The sequence below is a fragment of the Homo sapiens genome, chromosome 6 (genome assembly GCF_000001405.40).
Source record: "Homo sapiens chromosome 6, GRCh38.p14 Primary Assembly".
Lineage (NCBI taxonomy): Eukaryota > Metazoa > Chordata > Mammalia > Primates > Hominidae > Homo > Homo sapiens.
Window position 1 is genome coordinate 170190005 of NC_000006.12, and position 26113 is coordinate 170216117.

The 26113-nt window shown below is 48.4% G+C and overlaps 1 pseudogene, besides 4 other annotated features; it reads left to right on the forward strand.

Moving 5' to 3' along the window:
* Positions 9786-10231, forward strand: RPL12P23 (ribosomal protein L12 pseudogene 23; annotated as a pseudogene).
* Positions 16585-17084: an enhancer, noted in NCBI's record as "H3K4me1 hESC enhancer chr6:170521815-170522322 (GRCh37/hg19 assembly coordinates)". NCBI's record gives its function as "activates a minimal SCP1, AML or CMV promoter by ChIP-STARR-seq in naive H9 embryonic stem cells {active_cell/tissue: H9 hESC(naive)}" and the evidence as "EXISTENCE:reporter gene assay evidence [ECO:0000049][PMID:30033119]".
* Positions 17085-17591: an enhancer, noted in NCBI's record as "H3K4me1 hESC enhancer chr6:170522323-170522829 (GRCh37/hg19 assembly coordinates)". NCBI's record gives its function as "activates a minimal SCP1, AML or CMV promoter by ChIP-STARR-seq in naive H9 embryonic stem cells {active_cell/tissue: H9 hESC(naive)}" and the evidence as "EXISTENCE:reporter gene assay evidence [ECO:0000049][PMID:30033119]".
* Positions 18131-18632: an enhancer, noted in NCBI's record as "H3K4me1 hESC enhancer chr6:170523369-170523870 (GRCh37/hg19 assembly coordinates)". NCBI's record gives its function as "activates a minimal SCP1, AML or CMV promoter by ChIP-STARR-seq in naive and primed H9 embryonic stem cells {active_cell/tissue: H9 hESC(naive and primed)}" and the evidence as "EXISTENCE:reporter gene assay evidence [ECO:0000049][PMID:30033119]".
* Positions 18633-19132: an enhancer, noted in NCBI's record as "H3K4me1 hESC enhancer chr6:170523871-170524370 (GRCh37/hg19 assembly coordinates)". NCBI's record gives its function as "activates a minimal SCP1, AML or CMV promoter by ChIP-STARR-seq in naive and primed H9 embryonic stem cells {active_cell/tissue: H9 hESC(naive and primed)}" and the evidence as "EXISTENCE:reporter gene assay evidence [ECO:0000049][PMID:30033119]".

The following is a 26113-nucleotide window of genomic DNA, read 5'->3' on the forward strand; positions in this document are numbered from 1 at the left end:
ACTATCTCATGACCTTTTTAAATAAAAAGTCCCTCTTGCATAGAACATACCCGCTCAACAATGTTACAAACCTGCTTCTGCAGAGCAAGCGCTGCCCTGCTTGGCCCACACCTGGGCCCCACATCCACTCTGGTATAAAACACACAAGCCCGCTACTCACAAAAGTGTCTCCAGGTCACGCAAGGCCACTAATGAGCAAGTCTCTGCCTGGCTTGCCTGAGCAGGACACAGGTGGTCACCAAACCTAGGAGCATGCATCAGAGGGAGCTTTTCCAGCAGCACTGAGCTGTCTTCTCACCAAAAATCCCAGCAGTCTTATAATCCATCCCCTTCTCTCTGACCTCTGCACCAAGGACACCCAAGAAGACAACGTTCCCAGGGTCAGCAGACCATGCCTGTTCACAGACTGGCACATCATCCCATGGAGCAGGAGCTGGAGCCACAGGGCCAGGCCAAAAATGAGGGCGCGCCTCTGCTCCAGACTTGGCAGCAGAGATTCTCAAACCTGCTGTGAGGAGACCCCAGTCTCTGAGATTCTCAAACCTGCTGTGAGGAGACCCCAGTCTCTGAGATTCTCAAACCTGCTGTGGGGAGACCCCAGTCTCTGAGATTCTCAAACCTGCTATGGGGAGACCCCAGTCTCTGAGATTCTCAAACCTACTGTGAGGAGACTGCAGTCTCTGAGATTCTCAAACCCGCTGTGAGGAGACCCCAGTCTCTGAGATTCTCAAACCTGCTGTGGGGAGACCCCAGTCTCTGAGATTCTCAAACCTGCTATGGGGAGACCCCAGTCTCTGAGATTCTCAAACCTGCTGTGAGGAGACTGCAGTCTCTGAGATTCTCAAACCCGCTGTGAGGAGACCCCAGTCTCTGAGATTCTCAAACCTGCTGTGGGGAGACCCCAGTCTCTGAGATTCTCAAACCTGCTATGGGGAGACCCCAGTCTCTGAGATTCTCAAACCTGCTGTGAGGAGACCGCAGCCTCTGAGATTCTCAAACCTGCTGTGGGGAGACCGCAGCCTCTGAGATTCTCAAACCTGCTGTGGGGAGACCGCAGCCTCTGAGATTCTCAAACCTGCTATGGGGAGACCCCAGTCTCTGAGATTCTCAAACCTGCTGTGAGGAGACCGCAGCCTCTGAGATTCTCAAACCTGCTGTGGGGAGACCGCAGCCTCTGAGATTCTCAAACCTGCTGTGGGGAGACCGCAGCCTCTGAGATTCTCAAACCTGCTGTGGGGAGACCGCAGCCTCTGAGATTCTCAAACCTGCTGTGGGGAGACCCCAGTCTCTGAGATTCTCAAACTTGCCATGGGGAGACCCCAGTCTCTGAGATTCTCAAACCTGCTGTGGGGAGACCGCAGCCTCTGAGATTCTCAAACGTGCTGTGGGGAGACCGCAGCCTCTGAGATTCTCAAACCTGCTGTGGGGAGACTGCAGCCTCTGAGATTCTCAAACCTGCTGTGGGGAGACCCCAGTCTCTGAGATTCTCAAACCTGCTGTGAGGAGACCGCAGCCTCTGAGATTCTCAAACCTGCTGTGGGGAGACCCCAGTCTCTGAGATTCTCAAACCTGCTGTGGGGAGACTGCAGTCTCTGAGATTCTCAAACCTGCTGTGGGGAGACCGCAGTCTCTGAGATTCTCAAACCTGCTGTGGGGAGACCGCAGTCTCTGAGATTCTCAAACCTGCTGTGGGGAGACCCCAGTCTCTGAGATTCTCAAACCTGCTGTGGGGAGACCCCAGTCTCTGAGATTCTCAAACCTGCTGTGAGGAGACCGCAGCCTCTGAGATTCTCAAACCTGCTGTGGGGAGACCGCAGTCTCTGAGATTCTCAAACCTGCTGTGGGGAGACTGCAGTCTCTGAGATTCTCAAACCTGCTGTGAGGAGACCGCAGCCTCTGAGATTCTCAAACCCGCTGTGGGGAGACCCCAGTCTCTGAGATTCTCAAACCTGCTCTGAGGAGACCCCAGTCTCTGAGATTCTCAAACCTGCTGTGGGGAGACCGCAGTCTCTGAGATTCTCAAACCTGCCGTGGGGAGACCGCAGTCTCTGAGATTCTCAAACGTGCTGTGGGGAGACACCAGTCTCTGAGATTCTCAAACCTGCTCTGAGGAGACCCCAGTCTCTGAGATTCTCAAACGTGCTGTGGGGAGACCGCAGCCTCTGAGATTCTCAAACCTGCTGTGGGGAGACTGCAGTCTCTGAGATTCTCAAACCTGCTGTGGGGAGACCGCAGTCTCTGACATTCTCATACCTGCTGTGACATGACGTCATCACAATGTGAACCAGTGCATGGGGCAGAGCATGGAGACCACAGGGTTCCTGGGTGAGTCTGGGACAACTGCCACCCTTGGCGACACCTGGCTGGCAGGACAGATGGGCATTCGCCAAGTGCAGCTAAAGCAGATGGTGCCAGGTCCCCCGGGTGCACCTTGGTAAGAGCGGCTACTCTCTGGCTGTGCCTGTTTCTCAGAGAGCAAATCAGGAATGAAGAGGGAATGTCCTGGCCACCAGGATAACCCAGGCCCTGCTCTCTTGGGACCACACAGGAGGCAGCCTCTGCAGAGTGAGGTCCTAGCTGGGGCCACAGCCTTGCCACACCGCAGTCCAGCCGCCCCTCACTCAAGCCGTTCTTCCCAAAGAGGACACGGTGTCTGTCACCAGTGCAAGCTTTGAAGCCAGGCAGCCTGGACACCCAGCTCCTTTACTGGCCAGCCATGGCCCCTGGGACCAGGGTCTGGAGTCTCCAAGCCTCCATCCTCTCGCCATAAGGAGCTGGCGGTGTTTGATCTCTCAGAAAGCTGTGATGACCGAATGCGACATGTGAAGTGCATAGGAAGAGCCTCCACGGAGCAAGCATTTAAAGATTTTGGAGACTATTCTAGCAAGAACAAGAGGACAGTCAGCAAACTTCAGGTTGATGGACAAAACTGTTTAAAAATACTTGACAGTATAACTACTTTGCAACATTGGGCATCTCATGTAAAGACGTCAAAGCTATAAAAGCATAAGCCAAAGAGCAGTTTCTTCGTGACAAGGAAGCAGAGAAAACCGCAGCAGTGACACGAATGCAAGTTCTGCTTCCAGAAAGACGGGGTGGACTTACTGTTTCCTACTCCTTCAAGCACAACAAAAACCCTGGATGTTACCTATAAAACAAGATGCTGAATGAGGGAGAAAAGAAAGACCAGCCAGGGAACCCAGGACCCAAAGGACAGCAGGGTGGCAAGTTCCTGGGCTTTCTTTTTGCCTCACACATCTCAGACTTGGAAGTGCAGAAGCCACAACCCAGAAACACCAACGGGCACAAATAGAAGCAGCCCCACAAACGCTGACTCTCTGCAGCCAAGGCCCTGGAGGGGCCGCCCAGAAGCAGCCCCGGCAAACGCTGGCTCTCTGAAGCCAAGGCCCTGGACGGGCCGCCCAGAAGCAGCCCCACAGATGCTGGCTCTCTGCAACCAAGGCCCTGGAGGGGCCGCCCAGTGAGACAGAACTCTTCGAGATGGTGACCACTGCATTCCTGCCAACACCACAGAAAGAAAACGTGGTCCCACCCCCACACCATGCCAGGGAAGGTCAGGTCAGGGCCTCGGAGTCCACCCTCATGAGGCTCTGCCAACAAGCCTTGTCCAGCCCCACTGGAGTGGTGGTGGAAGAGGCCGAAACACACCTCCCCGCTGTGATGCAGGGACCATGCAGGAAGCCTGAGCTTTCACAGTCAGCACTGTCTTTCCTCTGTCAACAGGACCACATAGGAAACCTGGACTTCCAGCCCCATCCCACCCCTGCCAGAGCCGCTCCAGAAAAAGCACCCTCACGATGCAACACAAAAAGGTCTATATTTCATTCAAAAACCACTCATTGTACCAAGAACCAGGAAGATCCCAAACTGAATGGAAAAATAAATAATCACTACCTGCCAGCACTGACAGGGATATTAGAAACAATAGAAAGATCTTAAAGCAGCTATCACGAAAATACCTCAACAAGAAATTATAAACACACCTGAAACAAATGAAAAAAATAGGAAGCCACAACAAAGAAATAGCAAGTCTCAGCATAGAAATAGAAGATGTAAATAAGAACCAAAGGGAAATCATAGAACTGAAAATAATACATCCAAAATAAAAAGCTTAGCGGATGACTTCAACAGTATAATGCAGGGGACAGAGGAAATAATTGGTGAACTGGAAGACAGAATGAGAAAAATTACTCAATCTGAACAACAGAAAGAAAACAGACTGCTTAAAAAATTAACAGAGACTTAGGGGTCTTCTATAGGACTATAACAAAGATCTAACATTCATGTCACTAGAGTGATGAAAAGAGGAGAAAGTATGGAGCAGAAAATGTGATCAAAGAAATAATAGCTGAAAACATCTCCAATTCTGCAAGAGATGTAAACCTACAGGTTCAAGAAGCTGAACAAACCCTAAAAAGGGTAAGCCAAAAGAAATCCACATCAAGACACATCATAATTATACATCTGACAACTAAAGGCAAAGAAAAAAAGCCTGAAAACAGCCAGAGAAAAATATTTTACCTTTGGGGGAAAAGTTGCAATAACAGTGTATTTCTCATCTGAAACCATAGAGACCAGCAGGAAGTGCCACAATTTTTTTTAAAAGAACAGAACCGTCAACTCAGAATCCTATATCCAGTGAAAATGTCCTTTAGGAATGAAGGGAAAATTCATACATTCTCAGAAGAAAGAAAACTAAGAGAATTTGTCATCAGCAGATCTACTCTAAAATAATGTCTAAAGGAAGTTCTCTAAACAAATAGTAAATGATAAAAGGGGGTGTTTTAGAAATCAGGAAGTCAGAAAAAAACCCAGTAAGCAAAAATAAATAAATAAATAAATAAATACAATAGGATTTTTTTCTCTTGAGTTTTCTAAATTATGTTTGAATGTTGAAGCAAAAATTATACTGCTCTCTGCTGTTCTTCTAAATGTATATAAAGAAAATATTTGAAACAATTATATTATAAACAGGGTATAACAAAGGAAGATTAAAAAGAGTAAAGGTTTCTCTACTTCACTTAAACCAGTAAAATGATAACACTAGTTAACTGTGATAAGTTACCTATATATAATGTAATACCGAAAGCAGCTACTAAAACAGTTACAAAAAGATGTACTCATAATCACTATAGATAAATCAAAATGGAATTCTAAAAATGTTCAAGTGAACCACAGGAAGTCAAGAAAAAGAAAACCAACAAAAATGAGAGAGAATAATGAAAAAACAAAAAACATGCAAACCTAAGCCCTAACATATCAATAATTACACTAGATGTAAATGGTCCAAATACTTCAAATAAAAGAAAGAAATTGGCAGAGTGGATTAAAAACGATGACCCAAATATTTACACTCTACAAGATGCAATCTTCAAATATAGCAATACATAAAGGTTGAAAGTAAAAGGATATAAAAATGTATAGCATGCAAACATTAAAGGAAAGTAGGAGTGGTTATTCATATTAGACTTCAGAGCAGAGAAAATTATCAAAGAGGGACATTATATTATAATAAAGAGTCAATCCACCAAAAAATTTATAGCAATCCTAAATATGTATGGCCTAAACAACTGAGCTGCAAAATACAAGAAGCAAAAAGTGATAAGCGGAAGAAGAAATAGAAAAATTTACAATTATAGTTGGAGACTTCAACAACCTTCTATCAACAATAGGTAGAACAACTAGATATAAAATCAACAAGAATAAAGAACTCAACAACACAATTTACTAACAAGATCTAATAGATATTTACAGAATATTCCATCTAACAATAGCAGAAAATACACTTTCTTCAAGTGCTCATGGAATATACATCAAGATTGGCCATCTCCTGAGTCATAAAGCAAACCTCAACAAATTGAAAAAGAAAAAAGAAATTATAAGGAGCATGTTCTCCAATCACAGGAAATTGAGCAACATATTTCTCTAAATAATCAATGAGTCAAAGAGGAATTCTTGTAAAAAATCAGGAAAAAACATTGAAAACTGAAATGAAAATACAACATATCAAAACCTGTGGGATGCAGCTAAAGCAGCACTTAGAGGAAAATTTATAGCACTAAATTCACACATTAAAACAGACTGAAATCAATAAACTACATTCCTATCTCAAGAACCTAGAAAAAAGAGCAAAATAAACCTGCAGGAGGCAAATGAAGGAAAATAAGCATAAGTCAATGAAATTGAAAACAGAAAAACAGTAGAGAAAATCAGTGAAACAAAAAGCTCCTCTGAAACAAAAACAATAAAATTGACAAACCTCTAGAAAGACTGAAAAGAGAGAGAGGACACAAATTATCAATGTCTGCAATAAAACAGGGGCTATCACTACAAATCCTAGAGCCATCAAAAGAATAATAAGAGAATACTTTGAATAACTCTATAAAACTAAATTTGGCAACTTAGACAAACTTGACAAGTTCCTTTAAAAATGCAATCTATTACAATTCACCCAATTTAAAATAGGTAATTTAATAGCGCTTTAACACTTAAGGATATTGAGTTTGTGCTTTTAAGGCCCCCAGAGAAAGAAATTTCCAGGCTCAGACAGTTTCAGTGGAGAATTCTACTAAAGCTTCATAGAAGAATTAACACCAATTCTATAAAATCTCTTCCAGAAAATAGAAGCAGCAGCACTTCCCAATTCATTTTATGAAGCTAGTATTACCCTGATACCAAAACCAAAGACAGCACCAAAAAAACAGCAGCAAACCAATATCCCTCATGAACACAGGTGTAAAAATCCTTAACAAACATTAGAAAATAAAATTTATTAACATATGGAAGAAATTATACACCATGACCAAGTGTGTGGTTTATTCCAGAAATTCAAGGCTAGTTTAATCTTCAAAAACTAATCATTATAATCCACCACGTAACAGACTAAAGAAGGCAAACCACATCATCGTATCGGTTGATGCAAAAAAAAATTTGACAAAATGTAATGTCCATCTTGGGTTTTTTTAATCTCATAAAAATAAAAATACAGGGAAACGTCTTCAACTAGATAAAGAGCATCTGTCAAATTCTACCATTCATTAACATTGTACTTAATGGTGAATATTGATGCTTTTCCCTAAAATTGGAAACACACTAAGCCTATTCATTCTCACCACTTTTATTCAACATAGTTCTGGAAGTTTAGCCAGTGCAATGACAAAATAAAAGGAAAAGCATACAGATAGAAAACAAATAAACTGTCCCTGTTTGCAAATCACATGACTGTCTACGTAGAAAATTCCGAGAAATCTATGAAAGAACTAATAAGAGAGTTCAACAAGGTCACAAGATATAAGAGAAACCTACAGAAATCAATTGTATTTCTTCTTGTTCATAACAAACACATGGTCACTAAATTTTAAAATACAATACCATTTACAATTGCTGAAAAAACATAAACTACTAAGCTATAAATCTAAAACACCATGGACAGTGTGTGTGTGTGTGGAACACTACACAACATTCATAAAAGAAATCAGAGAAGAGCTATAAAAATGGGGAGAGATACCATGTTCATAGATTGGAAGGCCCCCACACAATAAAGATGTCAATTCTTTGCAAATCAATATATAAATTTGACACAATTTCTGTCAAACTCCCAACAGGATTTTTTTGGATTTAGACAAGATTATTCAAAAATGCATACAGACAGACAAAGCTAGCCTAGCTAAAACAATTTTGAGAAATAAGAAGGAAGTTAACGGAATCAGTCTACGTGATTTGAAAACTTACTATACCCCTATTGTAATTGACACTATAATATTGACAGAGGTAGACACATGGGTCAATAGAATAGAATAAACAACCCAGAAACAAACCTGCACAAATATGCCCAGCAGATTTTTTTTAAAGTACAAAAACAATTAAATGGAGGAAAGATCACTCTCTGAGTTAGTAGTGCTGGAGAAATTAAATATCCCCAGGAAAAACATGGCGGCATTTCCCCATGACCTAAATTTCACACCTTATACAAAAGTTAACTCAAAATGGATCACAGATTTAAAGGCAAAACATAAAAATGATAACATTTCTAGGAAAAAAGTCATAGGAGAAAATCTTCAGGATCTAGAGCTAGGCAAAGTTCTTAGACTTGACATCAAAACCTAATCCATAAAATGAAACATTGATAAATTGACTTCATCAAAATGTAAAACTTTTGCTCTGTAAAAGACCTTGTTAAGAGGATCAAAAGACAAGCCACAAACTGAGAAAAAATGTTTGCAAACCATATGTCCCAGGGCTGATATCCAGAATATATAAAGAACTCTCAAACTCAATAGAAAGAAAATAAACACTCCAGCTAGATAATGGGCAAAAGACATGAACAGACTTAGTTACCTAGAAGAATATACAGAGGGCAAATGAGCACATGAAAAGATGTTCAGAATCATTAGCCATTAGGGAAATGCAAACTAAAACCACGACACCCCTATCAAAATGACTAATAAAAATAATTATAACTTCAAATACCAGGAAGGATGTGGGGGAAGCATCACCCACGTATTGTGGGTGGGAATGCACAATGGACAGTCACTCTGAAAAACAGTTTGGCAGATTCTTAAAAAGCAAAATATGCAACTGTCATACAACCCAGCAATAATACTCCAGGGTATTTATCCCAGAGAAAAGAAGACATATGTTCACACACAATCCTGAGTACAAATGTTTGTAGCAGCTTTATTTGTAATAGCCCAAAAGGGGAAAACACACAGATGTCCTCCAACCAGAAAGGTTAAACAAACCATAGTGCATCCACACTGTGAAATACAGCCAGGCAAGAAAGGAAACACACTACAGATACACAATTCAGATGGATTTCCAGAAAACCACGCTGAGTGGAAAAAAAAGACAATCTCAAAAGGCATACACTGCATAGTTTCACTTATGTGACATTCTTGGAATGACAAAATTATTAAAACGGAGAACCTGTGAGTAGTCACCAGGGGCTGAGAATGGGGATGGAGGCAGGAGGATCTGGGATTGATGGGAATGGCCTGCGTCTTGACTGCACCGATGGCATCATCCAGGTTATGTGATTGTGCCACCATTTACCAAATGTGATGAATGGGGAAGTTGGGTAAAGGCCACACACAGCCTCTGTGGTATTTCTAACAACAGCATATTAACCTATAATTATCTCCAAGTTAAAAGTGTGATTTCAAAATAAGAATAATACCATCCTGGCTAACACGGTGAAACCCCGTCTCTACTAAAAAAAGTACAAAAAAATTAGCCGGGCATGGTGGCAGACGCCTGTAGTCCCAGCTACTCGGGATGCTGAGGCAGGAGGATGGCGTGAACCCGGGAGGCAGAGCTTGCAATGTGCCAAGATCGTGCCACTGCACTCCATCCTGGGCAAAGGAGCGAGACTCTGTCTCAAAAATAAAGAAATCAATAAATAATAATAACAATAATAATTCAAAAATAAGGCAAACTAAAACATTTTAAAAACCTTTCTACTTTGATTAACTAGGTATTTACCCAGGAAGGACATATTTCAAAGAATCAATGGCTTCTCTGTGGCTTCTCTATCATTTAAATAAGATAAACATCCTGGTCTCCCAGACAAAGATGGTGACAGTGACATGAAGCTGAATCGCAAAATCCTCTCCCACCAAACCTAACGAAATGCACCAAAGGAAACTGTTTATTAAAAAGACAACAAAAAATTAGCTCTTTATTTTCAGCTCAGGAGAGACCAAGGTGAAACTTTCTTGGTTGTCCCAAATCTGGGTTTACCTGACAGTGGCCACCGCCACCATGCACCTAAGTTTGACCCCAAGGAGATCAAAGTCGAATTCCTAAGTTCACTGGTGCTGAAGTCAGTGCCACGTCTGCCCTGGCCCCCCAGATTGGCCCCCTGGGTCTGTCTCCAGAAAAGGTTGCTGATGACATCACCAAGGCAACCAGGGACTAGAAGGTTCTGAGGACCACAGGGAAACCGACCATTAGAACAGACAGGCCCAGGCGGAGGCCATGCCATCTGCCTCTGCTCTGATTATCAAAGCCCTCAAGGAACCACCAAGAAGCAGAAAGAAACAGAAAAATATTAGAGTGGAAATATCACTTGCGATGAGATTGTCAACATTGCCAGACAGATGCAGCACCGATCTTTAGCCAGAGAACTCTCTGGAACCACTAGAGCTCCTAGGGACTGCCCAGTCTGCAAGCCACGGTGTCGATGGCACCACCTCATCATGCCACGGATGACCATGAAATGTGGAGTGCTGGCTAGTTAAGAAGCACAAAGGAAAATATTTCAATAAAGGATCACTCACGACCCAAAAAAACAAAAAGTAAATGAGTAGTAGAAAATGCAGTTAAAAACAAAAAATAATGAATAGCAGTAACATAAGGAAAGATGTCATAAATTTCAAAATGGTAAGATGAAGAGAAAATAAGGGCTCTGTCTCATCTCACCGCCCACATCCCAGAAGCAGGGGAGAGACAGTAAGAGCATGAGTCCCCCGCCAAGAATCCTCCCCAGCCCTCACAGGCGAAGAGAAGTGGACTGAGGCATAAACAGGCCACCCACGGAACAGTCAAAGGTGTCCCGGAGAAGAGCAGCCTCCCCGACAGCATCTGTGCAGAGGCAGAAGAAAACACCAGGCTGCCTCGTCCCAGAGCTCACAGCAAATGAGGGGACATTTGGGAGCCCAAGGCTTTCCCTGTAGGGATGTGAACCCCAGGACAGAATAAAATCTCAGAAGGAAGGGTGGCACTCGAATCCCACCAGAAAGCCTGGACACAGCTTCCGGCCAGACCTACAGTGGCCAGGAGGAGCTGGTGTGCAGAGAGTGCCAAGGAGAATGACTCACATTACGGGAAACAGGCAAAACTCAGGTTAGTAAGGCCATTTTTGGCTACAAGTGATGGAAATTCAATCCAAGCCATCTCCTGCACATCAAAGAGCATAAAGTAAGGAAACTGAAAATAATAAATTAATAAGACAAGATAATAAGTTGGTTCTTTGACAAAACTAAAAGTATAGATAAAACCCTAGAAAAACTAAAACAAGAAAAAATAGAAAAGACACCACATACATTATTTGAAATGAAATGAAACAAATTTAATTACAAGAGAATATCATGAATGATGTATCATGTAGCCATAATTTTAAAACTTCAATAAAGTTGATGATAGTATTTTTAAATATATAGTCAAAATCAAACCAAGATGAAATATATAAAAAGTAAATGAAGGAATAATCATTAAAACAAAAAAAAATACATTCAAAAACCAACCTTTACTGTAAGTTTTCAGTCCTAGGTGGTTATACTGGAAAGTCTTGCCAGACCATAAAGGGAGCAGCAGCTCCCGTCCCTCCCACACCGTTTCACGGAATAGAAAAGTAGGAACTACTATTCACTCTATTTTATCAGGCTGCTATACCCTAGATATAAAACATCAAACAAGGACCATGTGCCTCAGTCCATCCAGGCTACTGGGACAAAATGTCATAGACGGGGGCGCTGATACACAGCAGAAACTCGCCTCTCACCTTTTGGAGCCTGGAAGTCCAAGATCGCGGTGTCAGCAGGTTCGGTGTCTGTGAGGGCCTATTCCAGGTTTATGGGTGAATGGCCATCTTCTTGCTGTGTCCTCACGTGATGGAAGGGCTGAGGGAGCTCTCTGGGGTTCCTTTTATAAGACACTGATCCTATTTGTGAGGCTCTGCCCTCATGACTGTGTCACTTCCCAAGGATCTCACCTCCTCCACCATAACCTTGGGGGTTCCAAGATTTCAATTTATGAATTTGGTGGGGTGCAAATATCCAGACCACAGCACAGCAGGAGAAACTTTTTAATAATCTCCCTTATGTAAAAATGCTTAAGAAAACTCCCCCAAGAAAGAAGTGAGTTACATCTAAAAAAAAAAAATTACATCACAGCCAATTAGTACTATGTCAGCAAAGGAAGAGTAATTCAACATCAAAACAATATGTTTGTACAATTAACATATTACTTGTTACTAAATATATAATACTATCTGAAAGGAAAAAAATTATCTCAATAATTTAGTAACTGATAGTTATAATAGTATTATAATAGTTTATAATCAATGTTTTATTAAAAACTATTTGATGCAATTGTATACTCATCCATGGCTACAAAATGCAAAATATATTCTTAGCAAACTAGGAATAGAAAGGAACATTGTAACTAACCAAAAGCTATCTGTAAAGAATAATAAACTCATACTTAATGCTGAAACCTTAGAAGTATTCCCATTGACAAGAACAGTGTGGACCTCCCCTCTCACCACTTCCCTTTGACTCTGCATTAGAAGCCCTGACCCATGCAATAAAACAATAAAAAATGCTAAAAGATGCAAGAAACTGAAGGAATGAGCCAAAACTCTCATTATTTGTGGGAGGTATGATTACTAGAAAATTCTATAGCATCTACAGCCTATTAAAATTCACAACAGAACTGAGTGACATCAACATCAAGTCAATTTCTTTCCTATTCCCCAAGGATAACCATTTAAAACATAATCCACGTATGCTCGTTCACGCATTCCACAAGTGTTTTCTGAGCCCCCGCTGTCTGCTCAAGGTTCTGGGCCCTGGGGGAGAGACGTGAACAGAGAGATGGAAGCCCCCCGCCCTCCCTGAGCTTACAGTGAGAGCAAGGTCAGTGTGAAATACACCACAGATGATGACGAGCGCTTTGGAAAGTAACAGAGCAGGGAATGGGGTGCGTTTCAAGATGTCCTCACTGAGAAGGTGACTTTCAGCAGAGACCTGAGGAGGGAGGGAGTTGGAGGTGCTCAGGCAGGGAGAAAAGTGTGTGCAAAGGCCCTGGCACAGGAGTGTCTCGAGAGGCTTGAGGAGCCACAGAGAGGCTGGGTGGGTACAGCAGGGCAGTGGAAGCACCACCTCCAGCTCCCACTCAGAAAGCTGACGAATGTGGCAAAGGAAGGCCCAGTCTACTTTCTGCACTTCCATCTGTGGGAAAGAAGTCATGGTGGGCTGGACAGGATGGCAGTGAAGGAGGGCAGGCAGGGCTAAAGGCTGGAGAGGTCTCCCAGGTAGAGCTTTTAAGACTTGCAGACGCCATGGAGTCGAGGAGGAGTCCAGGTCAGGAACTCCCAGTTCCTGGTCTGCACAAGCTGGAAGGAGGGAAATGCCATCTGCTCAGGGGAATCACCAGAGAAGCAGTGTCAGTGAACAGTGAGGTGTGGGGTGAGGAGATCAGAAATGCAGAGTTAGACCTGTCTGGTTTTGAGATTCCTATTACATATCCAAGCAGAGATGTTGAGAGATGTTTGATAGACAAATCTGGAATGCGGGGGAGGGATTTGTACTGGAAACTCAAAACAAAAATCATCACGCCACAGATAATATTTAAAGTAACTCACAAAACCAGATGAGATCATCAAGCGCCTGAGGACGCATGACATTAAAGGGCCAGAGAGATGGGAAAGTCACTGGAGGATGAGAAGTCACAGCCAGAAAACCAGGAGCAAGCCAACGGGTATGGTAGACCAGAAGCCCAGTGAAGAACACAAAGCAGGAAGTGTCTCAGGGATGTGCAGGCACTCACTCCACCAAATGCTCAGGGCAATCGGGTCAGACAAGGCCAGGAAATGGACCACTGGATTTAGCAATGAGACTAGGAAGAATGAAGACAGTGAGTGCAAATAAATAATAGTAAAAAAAGATATTCACAGAAGCAACAAAATCTTTAAAATGAAAGAAAGTTAACCTGGCAATCTAACCAAAAGTAGGAATGACCTCCAGGGGGGAAATGTATAAAATATTATTGAAGATGATTTGAAAACACCTAATTAGACAAATATATGATATCATATAAAATATGATATCATATTTTACATATATATAAAATGTATAAAATATTATTGAAGATGATTTGAAAACACGTAATTAGACAAATATATATATATAAAATATGATATCATATTTTATATATATATATTATTTAAGGATACAAAGATTGAATGCCTTTTAATGGGAGGTAATTGAATCATGGGGACAGTCACCCCATGCTGCTCTTCTTGTGATAGTGAGTGAGTTTTCACAAGATGTGATGGTTTTATAAGGGCCTTTTCCCCTCCTTCACTCTGCACTTCTCCTTCCTGACACCATGTGAAGAAGGACATGCTCCATTTCCACCATGATTGTAAGTTTCCTGAGGCCTCCCCAGCCCTGCAGAACTGAGTCAATTAAACCTCTTTTCTTATAAATTACCCAGTCTTGGGTATTTCTTCATAGCAGCATGAGAATGGACTAATACAGGGGCTGTTGTACATATTATTTCATCACCCAGGTACTAAGCCGAGCACCCAATTGTTATTTTTGCTGCTCCTCTCCCTCCTCCCACCCTCCACCCTCAAGTAGGTCCCAGTGTCTGTTGTTCCCCTCTTTGTGTCCATGTGTTCTCATAATTTAGCTCCCACTTATAAGTGAGAACATGCAATGTTTGGTTTTCTGTTCCTGCGTTAGTTGCTAAGGTCTCCAGCTCCATCTATGTCCCTGCAAAGGACACAATCTCATTCTTTTTTTTATGACTGAATAGTATTCTATTCTGTCACAAAGACACATGCCTGCAAATGTTCATTGCAGCTCTATTCACAATAGCACAGACATGGAATCGACCTGTGTTTCACTTTAATATGTATTCAATAAGTAACATGAGATAGTCGGCAATGTATTATAAAATAAACTTTCTGTCAGATGATGTAAGTGGCCGGAGCAATTTAAGGCAGGCCGGGCCCCCATTTAAGGCAGGCCGGGCCCCCATTTAAGGCAGGCCGGGCCCCCATTTAAGGCAGGCTGGGCCAGCCTATGATGGTTGGTAGTTTTGGTGTAAATGCATCTCAACTTAGATTATTTTCAACTTATGATGGTTTATTGGGAAGTGCATCTGTATTCACATTTGAAACTGTTAAAATTAAATTGGATTAAAATTTCAGCTCCTCACCAGCAGAAGCCACATTTCAAGTGTTCATATCACACATGGCTGGCTGCTTCTGTATTGAGTAGCACAGAAAGTTCTATTGCACAGGGCTGGTACTTCAGGGTAAGCCTGCCTTACACCTCACAGAGGAAAGGTGCAATTAGGGAGACTCTGCCTCATTTAACCCTTGCACACAGGGACACCCCTATGCATGTATAACCTATGCACGCGCATGTGCACACACCTATGTATGCACATGCACTCTTACACACCTACACCTGCACACACCCACGTACACACATCTCTCGTGCAACCTAAACACCCGTCACAGCTGGGAAGGCCTTTGTGCAGGGTAGCACCACTCACTAAATGGGAGTGTGTGATGAGTCTAGCAGTTGTTCTCAGCCTGAGGCACTCGGGCAAGCTTTCCCCACTGCCCACCTTGCCTTGGGTGGGGGTGGTTCTCATGTTGGCTATGGAGGAAGAAGGTCATCTTGAAGGCACTGATTGGAGGGCCCTATTAGGGTGCTAATGTGGGTACTACAATTATGAGAACACATGGACATAAAGAAGGGAACAACAGACACTGAGACCTCCTTGAGGGTGGAGGGTGGGAGGAGGAAGAGGAGCAGAAAAAATAACTACCAGGTAGTCAGCTTAGTACCTGGGTGACGAGAAGTGGAGTGAAGGCCCCTATTTGGGAAGTTTGAGAGCATCGGTGAGGTTCCTGACTTCCTGGAATTGTCCAGCACAGGCCTGTCAGCTGGTGGGCGATGGGTAACCCCAATAGCGGTGTCTTTACTTCAGAGACAGATCTCAGAATGACGGGCACCCATGGAACATGCCATGTTCTTGTGCATGAGCTTCTACACTTAAGAATCGCCGTCAGAGATTTTTAACAGCCATCCCCTTCTTATGGACAAAAATCTCCCTTAGCATCGATCAGGCAGTGAGCAAAGTAACTGTTTTACTTTGCTCTCTTTTTAAAGATTTACAGCTGGCACAGTGATAACATTTCAAAACCCATTAAAACCCAATCCCTGGAAGTTGTCCAGTGCCTCACAAATCATGAAGTGATGATGTAGCAGAGCTGGCCCTAAAACTCAGCTATGGCCTCTGTGTGTGCGAGTGCATGCGCATGTGGAGGGGCGTGAGCACATGTGTGCTTGTGTGAGAGTGTGTAAGTGTGTGAGCAAGCATGTGTGTGAGTGGGTGTGAGCACGTGTGTGCATGGGTGTGTGTGGGTGAGTGCATACATGGGAGCAAGCAGTTCTGTGTGCATGTGTGTGAGCATAAGTGCATGTGTGTGCACGTGTGACAGCATGGGTGTGTGTGAACATAGGTAATACGTGTGTGCATGTGTGTGATCATGGGTGAGTGCATGTGTATAAGTGTGCATGAGCAAGCATGTGTGTGAGTGGGCATGAGCATGTGTGTGCATGTGTGTTAGCATGGGTAAGTACGTGTGTGAGCAAGTGTGCAAGTGTGAGTGTGTTAGCAAGCATGTGTGTGGGCGTGAGCACGTGTGTGCACACCTTTGACCATGGGTGGATATGTGTGAGCATGGGTGAGTGCCTGTGTGTGTTTGGGTGTGAGAATGTGTGTGCATGTCTGTGAGTATGGTTGAATGCATGTGTGTGAGCAAGGGCATAAATATGTGGTCGTGTGTGCACAGTGAGCATGTGTGAGTGTGTACGCATGTGTTTATGAATGTGTGAGCATTTTGAGCACATGCCTGAACACATGTGTGTGCATGTGTATAAGCAAGTGCATGTACACTTTAACTGGAAATTTCAGGTGTTCAGGGTGTGGGTCTACACACACGCACACACACACGCACACACACGGACACACCCACACTGCTCCCTCCTTCCGTCCCCCTGGCCTGGGGCTTCGCATCTGTCCCTCAGGCATCATCCCTGCTAATAGCCATGCAGCCCAACCAGAGCCAGGAGGAAGCTGCATTGGTGCCGCCACGTGGCCCTGCACAGCTGGCGAACAGCAGCTTCTCTCACTGTGGGGATGAGCTGGTCAGCCTGGAGCCAGTGTGGCCGCAGGCTTCCTACCCAGCCTCCCTGGGGTTGGGGAGGAAAAGCTGCCTCCGAGGCCTGGACTGTGCTGTGCTGATGTTTGACTGCACCTGCTGCCTGCAGGGAGCACAGAGGCTGTGGGTCCCTGCAGGAGTGGCACAGGGACAAAGGCCACAGCCTCCGAGGCCTGGACTGTGCTGTGCTGATGTTTGGCTGCACCTGCTGCCTGCAGGGAGCACAGAGGCTGTGGGTCCCTGCAGAGCACAGAGGCTGTGGGTCCCTGCAGGAGTGGCACAGGGATGAAGGCCACAGGAGGCGCAGGCGGGTGGCACATTTTCACTGGGTGTATTTGGTGCCTGAGAAGTGTGCACCCCCCAGCACAGCCCCGCTAACCAGGATGGCTGGCACCTGACACTCTCATCAGGAAAGCAGAGCCTGGTGAAGACGATGCCCCAGGCTGTGACCACTCAGCAGAAAAGTCAGAAACCCTGGCCTAGCAGCTCCTGGATGCAGGCTGCTCTGTGATCAATGAGATTTCAACCAAAAATGAGTCGCCGCTTATTTATTTTGCATTTGTGTGGGCCTGTTCTCTGCTAATAAGAAAAGTTGGCAGAAAAGCCCACTTCCTGGGGCAGGCAGCTATTCTAGGAGAGTGTGGGAATGGGAGATGGGTTCGAGGTAACCCCCACCATATGGCTTTCCTCGAGCCCCTCTCCCGAGTCCCCTCTGAGGGCCCTGAGACCAGCATTCCTGACCTGCATACCTCAGGTGGCAACAAAGGTCTCTGCTCCACAAAGGGAGACCTCCACAGACCACCCCTTCTCCAGCTTCACCCGGCGGCCTCCCTTTCTCATGTCCCAAGAGGAGTGGGGATCGGGTTTGGCTTTCTGTGGGGCATACGGTTTCCAAGTGGATGTTTAATTCACACGCCAGTCCCTGGTGGCAGATTTGGTTTTCCACTTCTGTAACAGGAGCTGGGCTGTCACTGCTGTTGGAATCAAACAGACCACTTCTTCCAGAAGAATCCTAGGCCGCACTGAAAACAAAGCAAAATAAACTCATCATCCAACAACCACCCCCATGTGGCATATCATCCTCCATTTGGATTTCCTTCGGCTTTGTTTGTGGCAAGAATGTGGAAACATTGAAATCCAGTATCTCCCCTGGAGACAGGGGATTTTGTTAACATTTGGGGGAAAGTCAAGACTGAGACTGGGGCAGCCCCAGCGTCCAGACCGCACAGCCCCCGGGTTCCAGCGTGAGGATGGCCAGCTCCTGGAGCTCCATCCCTTCTGCGCCTGGGCCCCAAACGGTTGTGCCAGCACCAGACAGGGGCTCACTCCTTTGGCGCCAGGTCGTTTGGACCACAGATGGGAGAAAGGGCCCTTAATGGTCCTGCAGGAGCGGTATAGGACTGTCCACAAAGAAGAGGGCACCTGGATGCTGTGGCGGGGCCATGTCAAGATGCCTCTGTGAGTGCCATGCCTGGACGCCATGGGAACCGACCGAGGGTCCAGCAATCACAGGAGTCGTTTCCTCATCAGAAGGATTTGCAGCTGTTCCTGTGCTGGCATTTAAGAGCTGATTCACGCACACTGACCATCAGCCCTGCTGAAAAGGGGGTCACAGCTGCTTGTGAGAAAATAAGAAAACCAGCCAGGACCCAAACCTGAGCATCTGACCTCCGCCATGTCAGGACCCGAACCTGAGTATCTGACCCCCGCCCCCTCAGGTCCCGAACCTGAGCATCTGACCACTGCCCCCGGGGACCCAAACCTGAGCATCTGACCACTGCCCCCCTCAGGTCCCGAACCTGAGCATCTGACCGATGCTGCATCAGGGTTGCAGGAGGGAGAGCAAGATTGCCCTTGAGGCCCTTCCGCCCTCACTTGCATGCACTCACCCACATTCGTGACTCTCCACTCTCAGCGGCTGTCAGGAGAGCACAAGCGAGTGCTTTGCAGACCAGGAGTATGGCCTGTGCCATGCCCAGCACCCACCAGGCCCAGGGGCTGCCCCTGCCAATGCCTGGCTACAGCTCATAGTGATCCCCATTCTACCCAGAGGCTCAGGGCTGAAAAAAGTGGCTCGGTTGGAATGTTCTTGCCCTCATCACACCTCAGAAGCTGAATTCTCGGATGAGGGACACGGACTCTGGAACCAGACCACTGGGCTCGAATCCCAGCTCTGCCACACACAAGCTGTTGGCCAGAGACAAGTTCTGAGCCTCCTCCTGCCCTGCTTTACTCCCTGTGAAATGGAGCTGTTAAGGGTGCCCCCCTCACAGCATGGTGGAGATTCCAGCGTCAGTCAGCATTTGCAGAGCCCTTGGGCAGCATCTGGAGCCCGGCAAGCGCACACAGGAACCTGATGGGCAGGCAGGACAGAGGGAGCCTCATGAGCACTGCACAGGCACCTGCATACAATTGGTAGCTAGAGGGGAATGCTTCTACCCACAACAGCCTGACGGCGTGAGAGGCATCTCCACCCCTGTGAAACAGGCTACAGGAGGACAGCTGGGCCGTGGGGGTCCCGATCACACGCTTTGGGGCAATTTTAAGCACCTGGCATCCCTGGCTGACCCATTCCGAGGGGCAGCCCGTGTTGTGGGTCCCTCCGGCTTTCTTGGCAGAGCCCTGCAGCAGAGGGAGGCTGAGTGTCCAAAGCCCTAAAGCCACAACCAGCCCAAGCAGACATCTGGAGTGGTGCTTGGTGAGCAGTGGCACGCCGTGCCCCAGGCCTTCGGCTCAGGCCTGCAGAGCTCCAGAGCTCCGGAACGAGAGAGCCAGGACACAAGCGTGCAGCCCGCGATCGCCCAGGATGGCCGGTGGCCCTGGCTGCAAGCCTCACCTTTCCCTTGGCCCACTGTAACCAGGCACAGCCCAGGCTGTTCCCCTCCCTTTCGAAGGGAGCCGGTCGTCAATACATCAGTTTGTAATCACATGAACAGGAAGGTTTCTGGAAGTGAAGCCACCAACAGGCCAGGGGTCCTGGCATTGCCTCGACTGGCTGCCTGGGGGTTTCCTGCAGCCAATGGAAACTGATCTTCCTGCGGAGGAAACAGCCAGCCCAGCCAGAGGCAGGAGGAGGCTCGGTCCAGGTGCCCTGGGGGGTCTCTTCTTCCCTTGAAAGGACAAGGGCTCGGGGAGGAAACACACAGGTGCATTCCCCAGCCCCCGGGATTCCCCGTGGTGGTTTCCTTCACCACTGTCAGCGCTGGAAACACAGAAATTGACACAGTCCCATTGAAGTGGGTCAAGTGTGTTGTCGAACGTAGTGCACACGTACAACGGCAGGTCTGTCGCACACGGACGACGGCAGGTCTGTCGCACACGTACGACGGCAGGTCTGTCGGCACCTGAGGTGGCCGGCCCAAGGTAAAGGCTCATCATGAAGCCATCAGTAACCACATCTTTTTTCTTTCATTCAATCAGAGCAAAGTGTACATCTTCAATGCATGACCTGGCGAGATTTAATAAGACACAGCAGAAACTGTGGAAAGAAAGAGGTTAATTCCAATCAAGGAAATCTGATTTGGCTTGAATTAGGCCGGCTGTTAATGGGGGTAAGGGCATTGCCAGCAGAGGGGAGACGGTGAGGTTGATGATGGCATTACTCAGAGAGCAGGAGATGGTGGGAAAGGAGAGTGAAGGGTTCAGCTGCAGGAAGACATGAACGCCCCTCCACAGGTTTGAACTCTACCAGTGTTGAGGGCCATGAGAAGTTTCTAAATAGGGGATCTTGGGTGTGGATGTGCTTTAGGGGGTCAGTAGCTTCGAGAGTAGAATCGTTTGGGCAGGAGAGAGGTTACCATGAGGACAGCTCAAAACAGATTCCAACAATACCAAGCAGACGCCTGCGGGCTGCACCAGCAAAGGAAGAGACATTCGGGAGGGAAACCCTCTGCCAGGCTGGTGAAGGTGAAGATGGGGCACACTGTTGCAAACAAGTCCAAGTTTTCTGTTAAAGCAACACTATCACCTTAACCTTATAAATGTCCTCAACCTGAACAAAATTACCCTTCTTGGCTGAAACTTGCAATGAATACTAATGACAAATTACAGTGCTTTTCCCTAATGCTAATGTCTACACTATAGCTACACAGCTGTACTTATTTCAGCCCAAGCCTAACTCCGAGACTGAAAGAGGCAGCCTTTCCACCTCCAAGGCCCTACCTGGCCCTGGTGTGGATCTTAGGGCTCTGGATGCTGCTTCCCCTGGTGGTGGCTGGCACCGTGAAGGGCCTGACCACCGCCAGCCGCGTCTGCCCCTCTCTGGAGATGTCATTCTAGACACAACCTCTCACCATCCAGCACTTTTATTTTCCTACCCACAATACAACAGCAAGCATTAACAATGTTCCTCTGATGTGTCCAGCACAAGGAGAGAACCAGAGAGTGTATGTAGGACCTGGCTTCTGCCTTCAAACATCTTGCAACTTGTTCAGAGAGTCCAGAATGAAACAAACGAGGTGTACAAAAGGCAAGCGGTATTCAGTCCCTGGCTTGTGTACAAGCTCACGGGAGGAGGAGGTTAACCCTCGGGAGAAGCTGTGCTGGGGAGGCTGCATGAAAGTCCTTCTTGGAAGCCAGAGACCAGGTTGGGGATCCAGACTGCGAAGTCACATGACTTGTGCCTGGCACGCCAAGAAAGACACGCAGCAGGAAGGGCCCCCGGGCAGGCTGGAGTCATGGATAGAGGGTCCTGCATGCCAGGCTGAGGGTTGGGATCACTGGTTTGATGCCATGGCTTCCATGAGGCCACCTCTCAGGGGTCAGGCGGATCAGGGCAGGGTGGTCCCAGGAATGGGCAAACGCGGGGTCTCGGGGGATGCACTGAGAGGGCAGGAGCCCAGCTATGGAAAGACACCTCGAGTTTTCCTGCCAAAAGTGATTCAATTCACTTTCCCCAGCACTGACCTGACTCTCAGCCCACATGAAACCTGAAGAAACACTGCAAGGGAAGGCTCTGTCTGTGCACAAGCAGATAGTCCATCCTCCAGTTCAGTGGCTTCTTACGATGCATTCTTAACTGGTTTAACATTTGTTTTGCAACCTCATACACGAATCCAAGCCCCTCTTCCTATAACAGCCATCACCATCAATTAGGCACCAAGTAAGTCTCCGACCCTGTGCCTAGGGCTTTACGTAAGTGGTTTCTTTAATCTCACAACAATGTCAACAAGATCAGCCCTGCTAACACTGAGCCCTGCGGGTTGTCTCCTATGAGCCCAAAGGGTCAGGGCTTATCAACTGCACAGGCAAGAGGGGCCCAGACCAGCCAACCAGGAGGTGGGCTCTGTCCGCCTCTCCCTGTGGCCCCAGTGGAAGGCGGTTCATTCACAGACGTGGAGACTGAGGCATGGGTGAGCTGGATCAGTGACTGCGTGTGCACCAAGGAGGCGGCTGCCACCACGTAGCTCCATCCACCAGCCAGAGCCCAAGCCTCGCTGCAGCCTCACTGCCGTTTGCTTGCCGCCGCCTCTGCCCCGGAGCCCAGGCAGGGTGTGGATGTCAGTGCAGCCTCAGCACCACCCACTCCTGACCGTTTTGCCCACCTTCACCGTCTTTCCTGCTGGCTCCCCAGTGCCTTCAGAATAAAGACCCTTGAGACCGTGTCACGGCTCCTGCCTCCTCCCGCACCTCCAGCTTTGTCTCTTGCCTGAGGTCCAGCGTCCTCTGCTGGGCTCCAGGGCCTTTGCCCCAGGACCGGACCCAGGCCCGGATGCTCTCAGCCTGCCTCCTGGCCTCGTGTTTTCTCTCAGGGCATTCCACAGTTGTACTTTTGTGCATTTTATGCAGTTATTGGATCAGCTTCTGCCTTTCCCAGTAGACTACACGCTGCATTACGGTGGAGACTACATATTTGATAAACTTCTGTAGAATGAATGGTCTGGAGCCCAGGAGATGGAGAGAACGTTGGCTCCCTTGGCAGGAATAGCAAAGTGGGCACAGGAATCCCCTCTGTAGAAGGGAGGAGACGATTTTGGTTTCCGACCAGTTGCGTCTGGGCGTGGGGCTGGCTCACGTGCTGAAGGTGCCCCTGAGCAGCAGAAGTCAGAGGAGGTGCGGGCTGCGGATGCGAGCCGGGGCCTTCACACAGAGCCTGAGCGTGAGTTTCTGAGGGAGGTGAGACTCACAACACGAGACTCCCACAGGGGAAGAGCAGACCCCGGGACCGAGCCTGGGGAACGCAGCAGAGCCAGCCCAGCGAGGCTGAGTGACCGGACCCAGGGAGGCAGAAGACAGACGGGCCCGGGGAGTCAGTACTGAGAGACACGGAAGGCGGCGCACTGAAGACTCCACACGGGGAGTCAGTACTGAGCGGCCCCCAAGGCGGGGAGCGCTGAAGTCTCCACACAAGGAGTCAGTACTGAGAGGCTCCGAAGGCGGGGAGCACTGAAGACTCCAGACGGGGAGTCAGTACTGAGCGGCCCCCAAGGCGGGGTGCACTGAAGACTCCATACAGGGAGTCAGTACTGAGAGACTCCGAAGGCGGGGAGCACTGAAGACTCCAGACGGGGAGTCAGTACTGAGACGCTCCGAAGGCGGGGATCACTGAAGACTCCAGACAGGGAGTCAGTACTGAGAGGCCCCAAGGTGGGGCGCACTGAAGACTCCACACGGGAGTCAGTACTGAGAGATCCGGAAGGCGGGGTGCACTGAAGACTCCATACGGGGAGTCAGTACTGAGAGATCCGGAAGGCGGGGAGCACTGAAGACTCCACACGGGAGTCAGTACTGAGAGATCCGGAAGGCGGGAAGCACTGGACTCCAGACGGGGAGTCAGTACTGAGAGACCTGGAAGGCGGGGAGCACTGAAGACTCCACACTGGGAGTCAGTACCGAGAGATCCGGAAGGCGGGGAGCACTAAAGACTCCAGATGGGGAGTCAGTACTGAGAGATCCGGAAGGCGGGGAGCACTGAAGACTCCACACGGGAGTCAGTACTGAGAGATCCGGAAGGCGGGAAGCACTGGACTCCAGACGGGGAGTCAGTACTGAGAGACCTGGAAGTCGGGGAGCACGGAAGACTCCACACCAGGAGTCAGTACCGAGAGATCCGGAAGGCGGGGAGCACTAAAGACTCCAGACGGGGAGTCAGTACTGAGAGACCCGGAAGGCGGGGAGCGCTAAAGACTCCAGACAGGGAGTCAGTACTGAGAGATCCGGAAGGCGGGGAGCACTGAAGACTCCAGACAGGGAGTCAGTACTGAGAGATCCAGAAGGCGGGGAGCACTGAAGACTCCATACGGGGAGTCAGTACTGAGAGACCCGGAAGGCGGGGAGCACTGAAGACTCCCCACGGGAGTCAGTACTGAGAGATCCGGAAGGCGGGAAGCACTGGACTCCAGACGGGGAGTCAGTACTGAGAGACCCGGAAGGCGGGGAGCACTGGACTCCAGACGGGGAGTCAGTACTGAGAGATCCGGAAGGCGGGGAGCACTGAAGACTCCACACCGGGAGTCAGTACTGAGAGACCCGGAAGGCGGGGAGCACTGAAGACTCCATACGGGGAGTCAGTACTGAGAGATCCGGAAGGCAGGGAGCACTGAAGGCTCCACACGGGAGTCAGTACCGAGAGACCCGGAAGGCGGGGAGCACTGAAGACTCCACACGGGAGTCAGTACTGAGAGATCCGGAAGGAGGGGAGCACTGAAGACTCCAGACGGGGAGTCAGTACCGAGAGACCCGGAAGGCGGGGAGCACTGAAGACTCCACACGGGAGTCAGTACCGAGAGACCCGGAAGGCGGGGAGCACTGAAGACTCCACACGGAAGTCAGTACCGAGAGACCCGGAAGGCGGGGAGCACTGAAGACTCCATACGGGGAGTCAGTACTGAGAGACCCGGAAGGCGGGGAGCACTGAAGACTCCACACCGGGAGTCAGTACTGAGAGACCCGGAAGGCGGGGAGCACTGGACTCCACACCGGGAGTCAGTACTGAGAGACCCGGAAGGCGGGGAGCACTGAAGACTCCACACGGGAGTCAGTACTGAGAGATCCGGAAGGCGGGGAGCACTGAAGACTCCACACCGGGAGTCAGTACTGAGAGATCCGGAAGGCGGGGAGCACTGAAGACTCCACACGGGAGTCAGTACTGAGAGACCCGGAAGGCGGGTAGCACTGAAGACTCCACACGGGAGTCAGTACTGAGAGACCCGGAAGGCGGGGAGCACTGAAGACTCCACACGGGAGTCAGTACTGAGAGATCCGGAAGGCGGGGAGCACTGAAGACTCCACACCGGGAGTCAGTACTGAGAGACCCGGAAGGCGGGGAGCACTGAAGACTCCACACGGGAGTCAGTACTGAGAGATCCGGAAGGCGGGGAGCACTGAAGACTCCACACGGGAGTCAGTACTGAGAGATCCGGAAGGCGGGGAGCACTGAAGACTCCACACGGGGAGTCAGTACTGAGAGACCCGGAAGGCGGGGAGCACTGAAGACTCCACACCGGGAGTCAGTACTGAGAGACCCGGAAGGCGGGGAGCACTGAAGACTCCATACGGGGAGTCAGTACTGAGAGATCCGGAAGGCGGGGAGCACTGGACTCCAGACGGGGAGTCAGTACTGAGAGATCCGGAAGGCGGGGAGCACTGGACTCCAGACGGGGAGTCAGTACTGAGAGATCCGGAAGGCGGGGAGCACTGGACTCCAGACGGGGAGTCAGTACTGAGAGATCCGGAAGGCGGGGAGCACTGGACTGCACAGCGGGAGTCAGTACTGAGAGACCCGGAAGGCGGGGAGCACTGAAGACTCCACACCGGGAGTCAGTACTGAGAGACCCGGAAGGCGGGGAGCACTGAAGACTCCACACCGGGAGTCAGTACCGAGAGACCCGGAAGGCAGGGAGCACTGGACTCCACAGCGGGAGTCAGTACTGAGAGACCCGGAAGGCGGGGAGCACTGGACTCCAGACGGGGAGTCAGTACCGAGAGACCCGGAAGGTGGGGAGCACTGAAGACTCCATACGGGGAGTCAATACGGAGAGACCCGGAAGGCGGGGAGCACTGGACTCCAGACGGGGAGTCAGTACTGAGAGACCCGGAAGGCGGGGAGCACCGAAGACTCCACACCGGGAGTCACTACTGAGAGACCCAGAAGGCGGGGAGCACCGAAGACTCCACACCGGGAGTCAG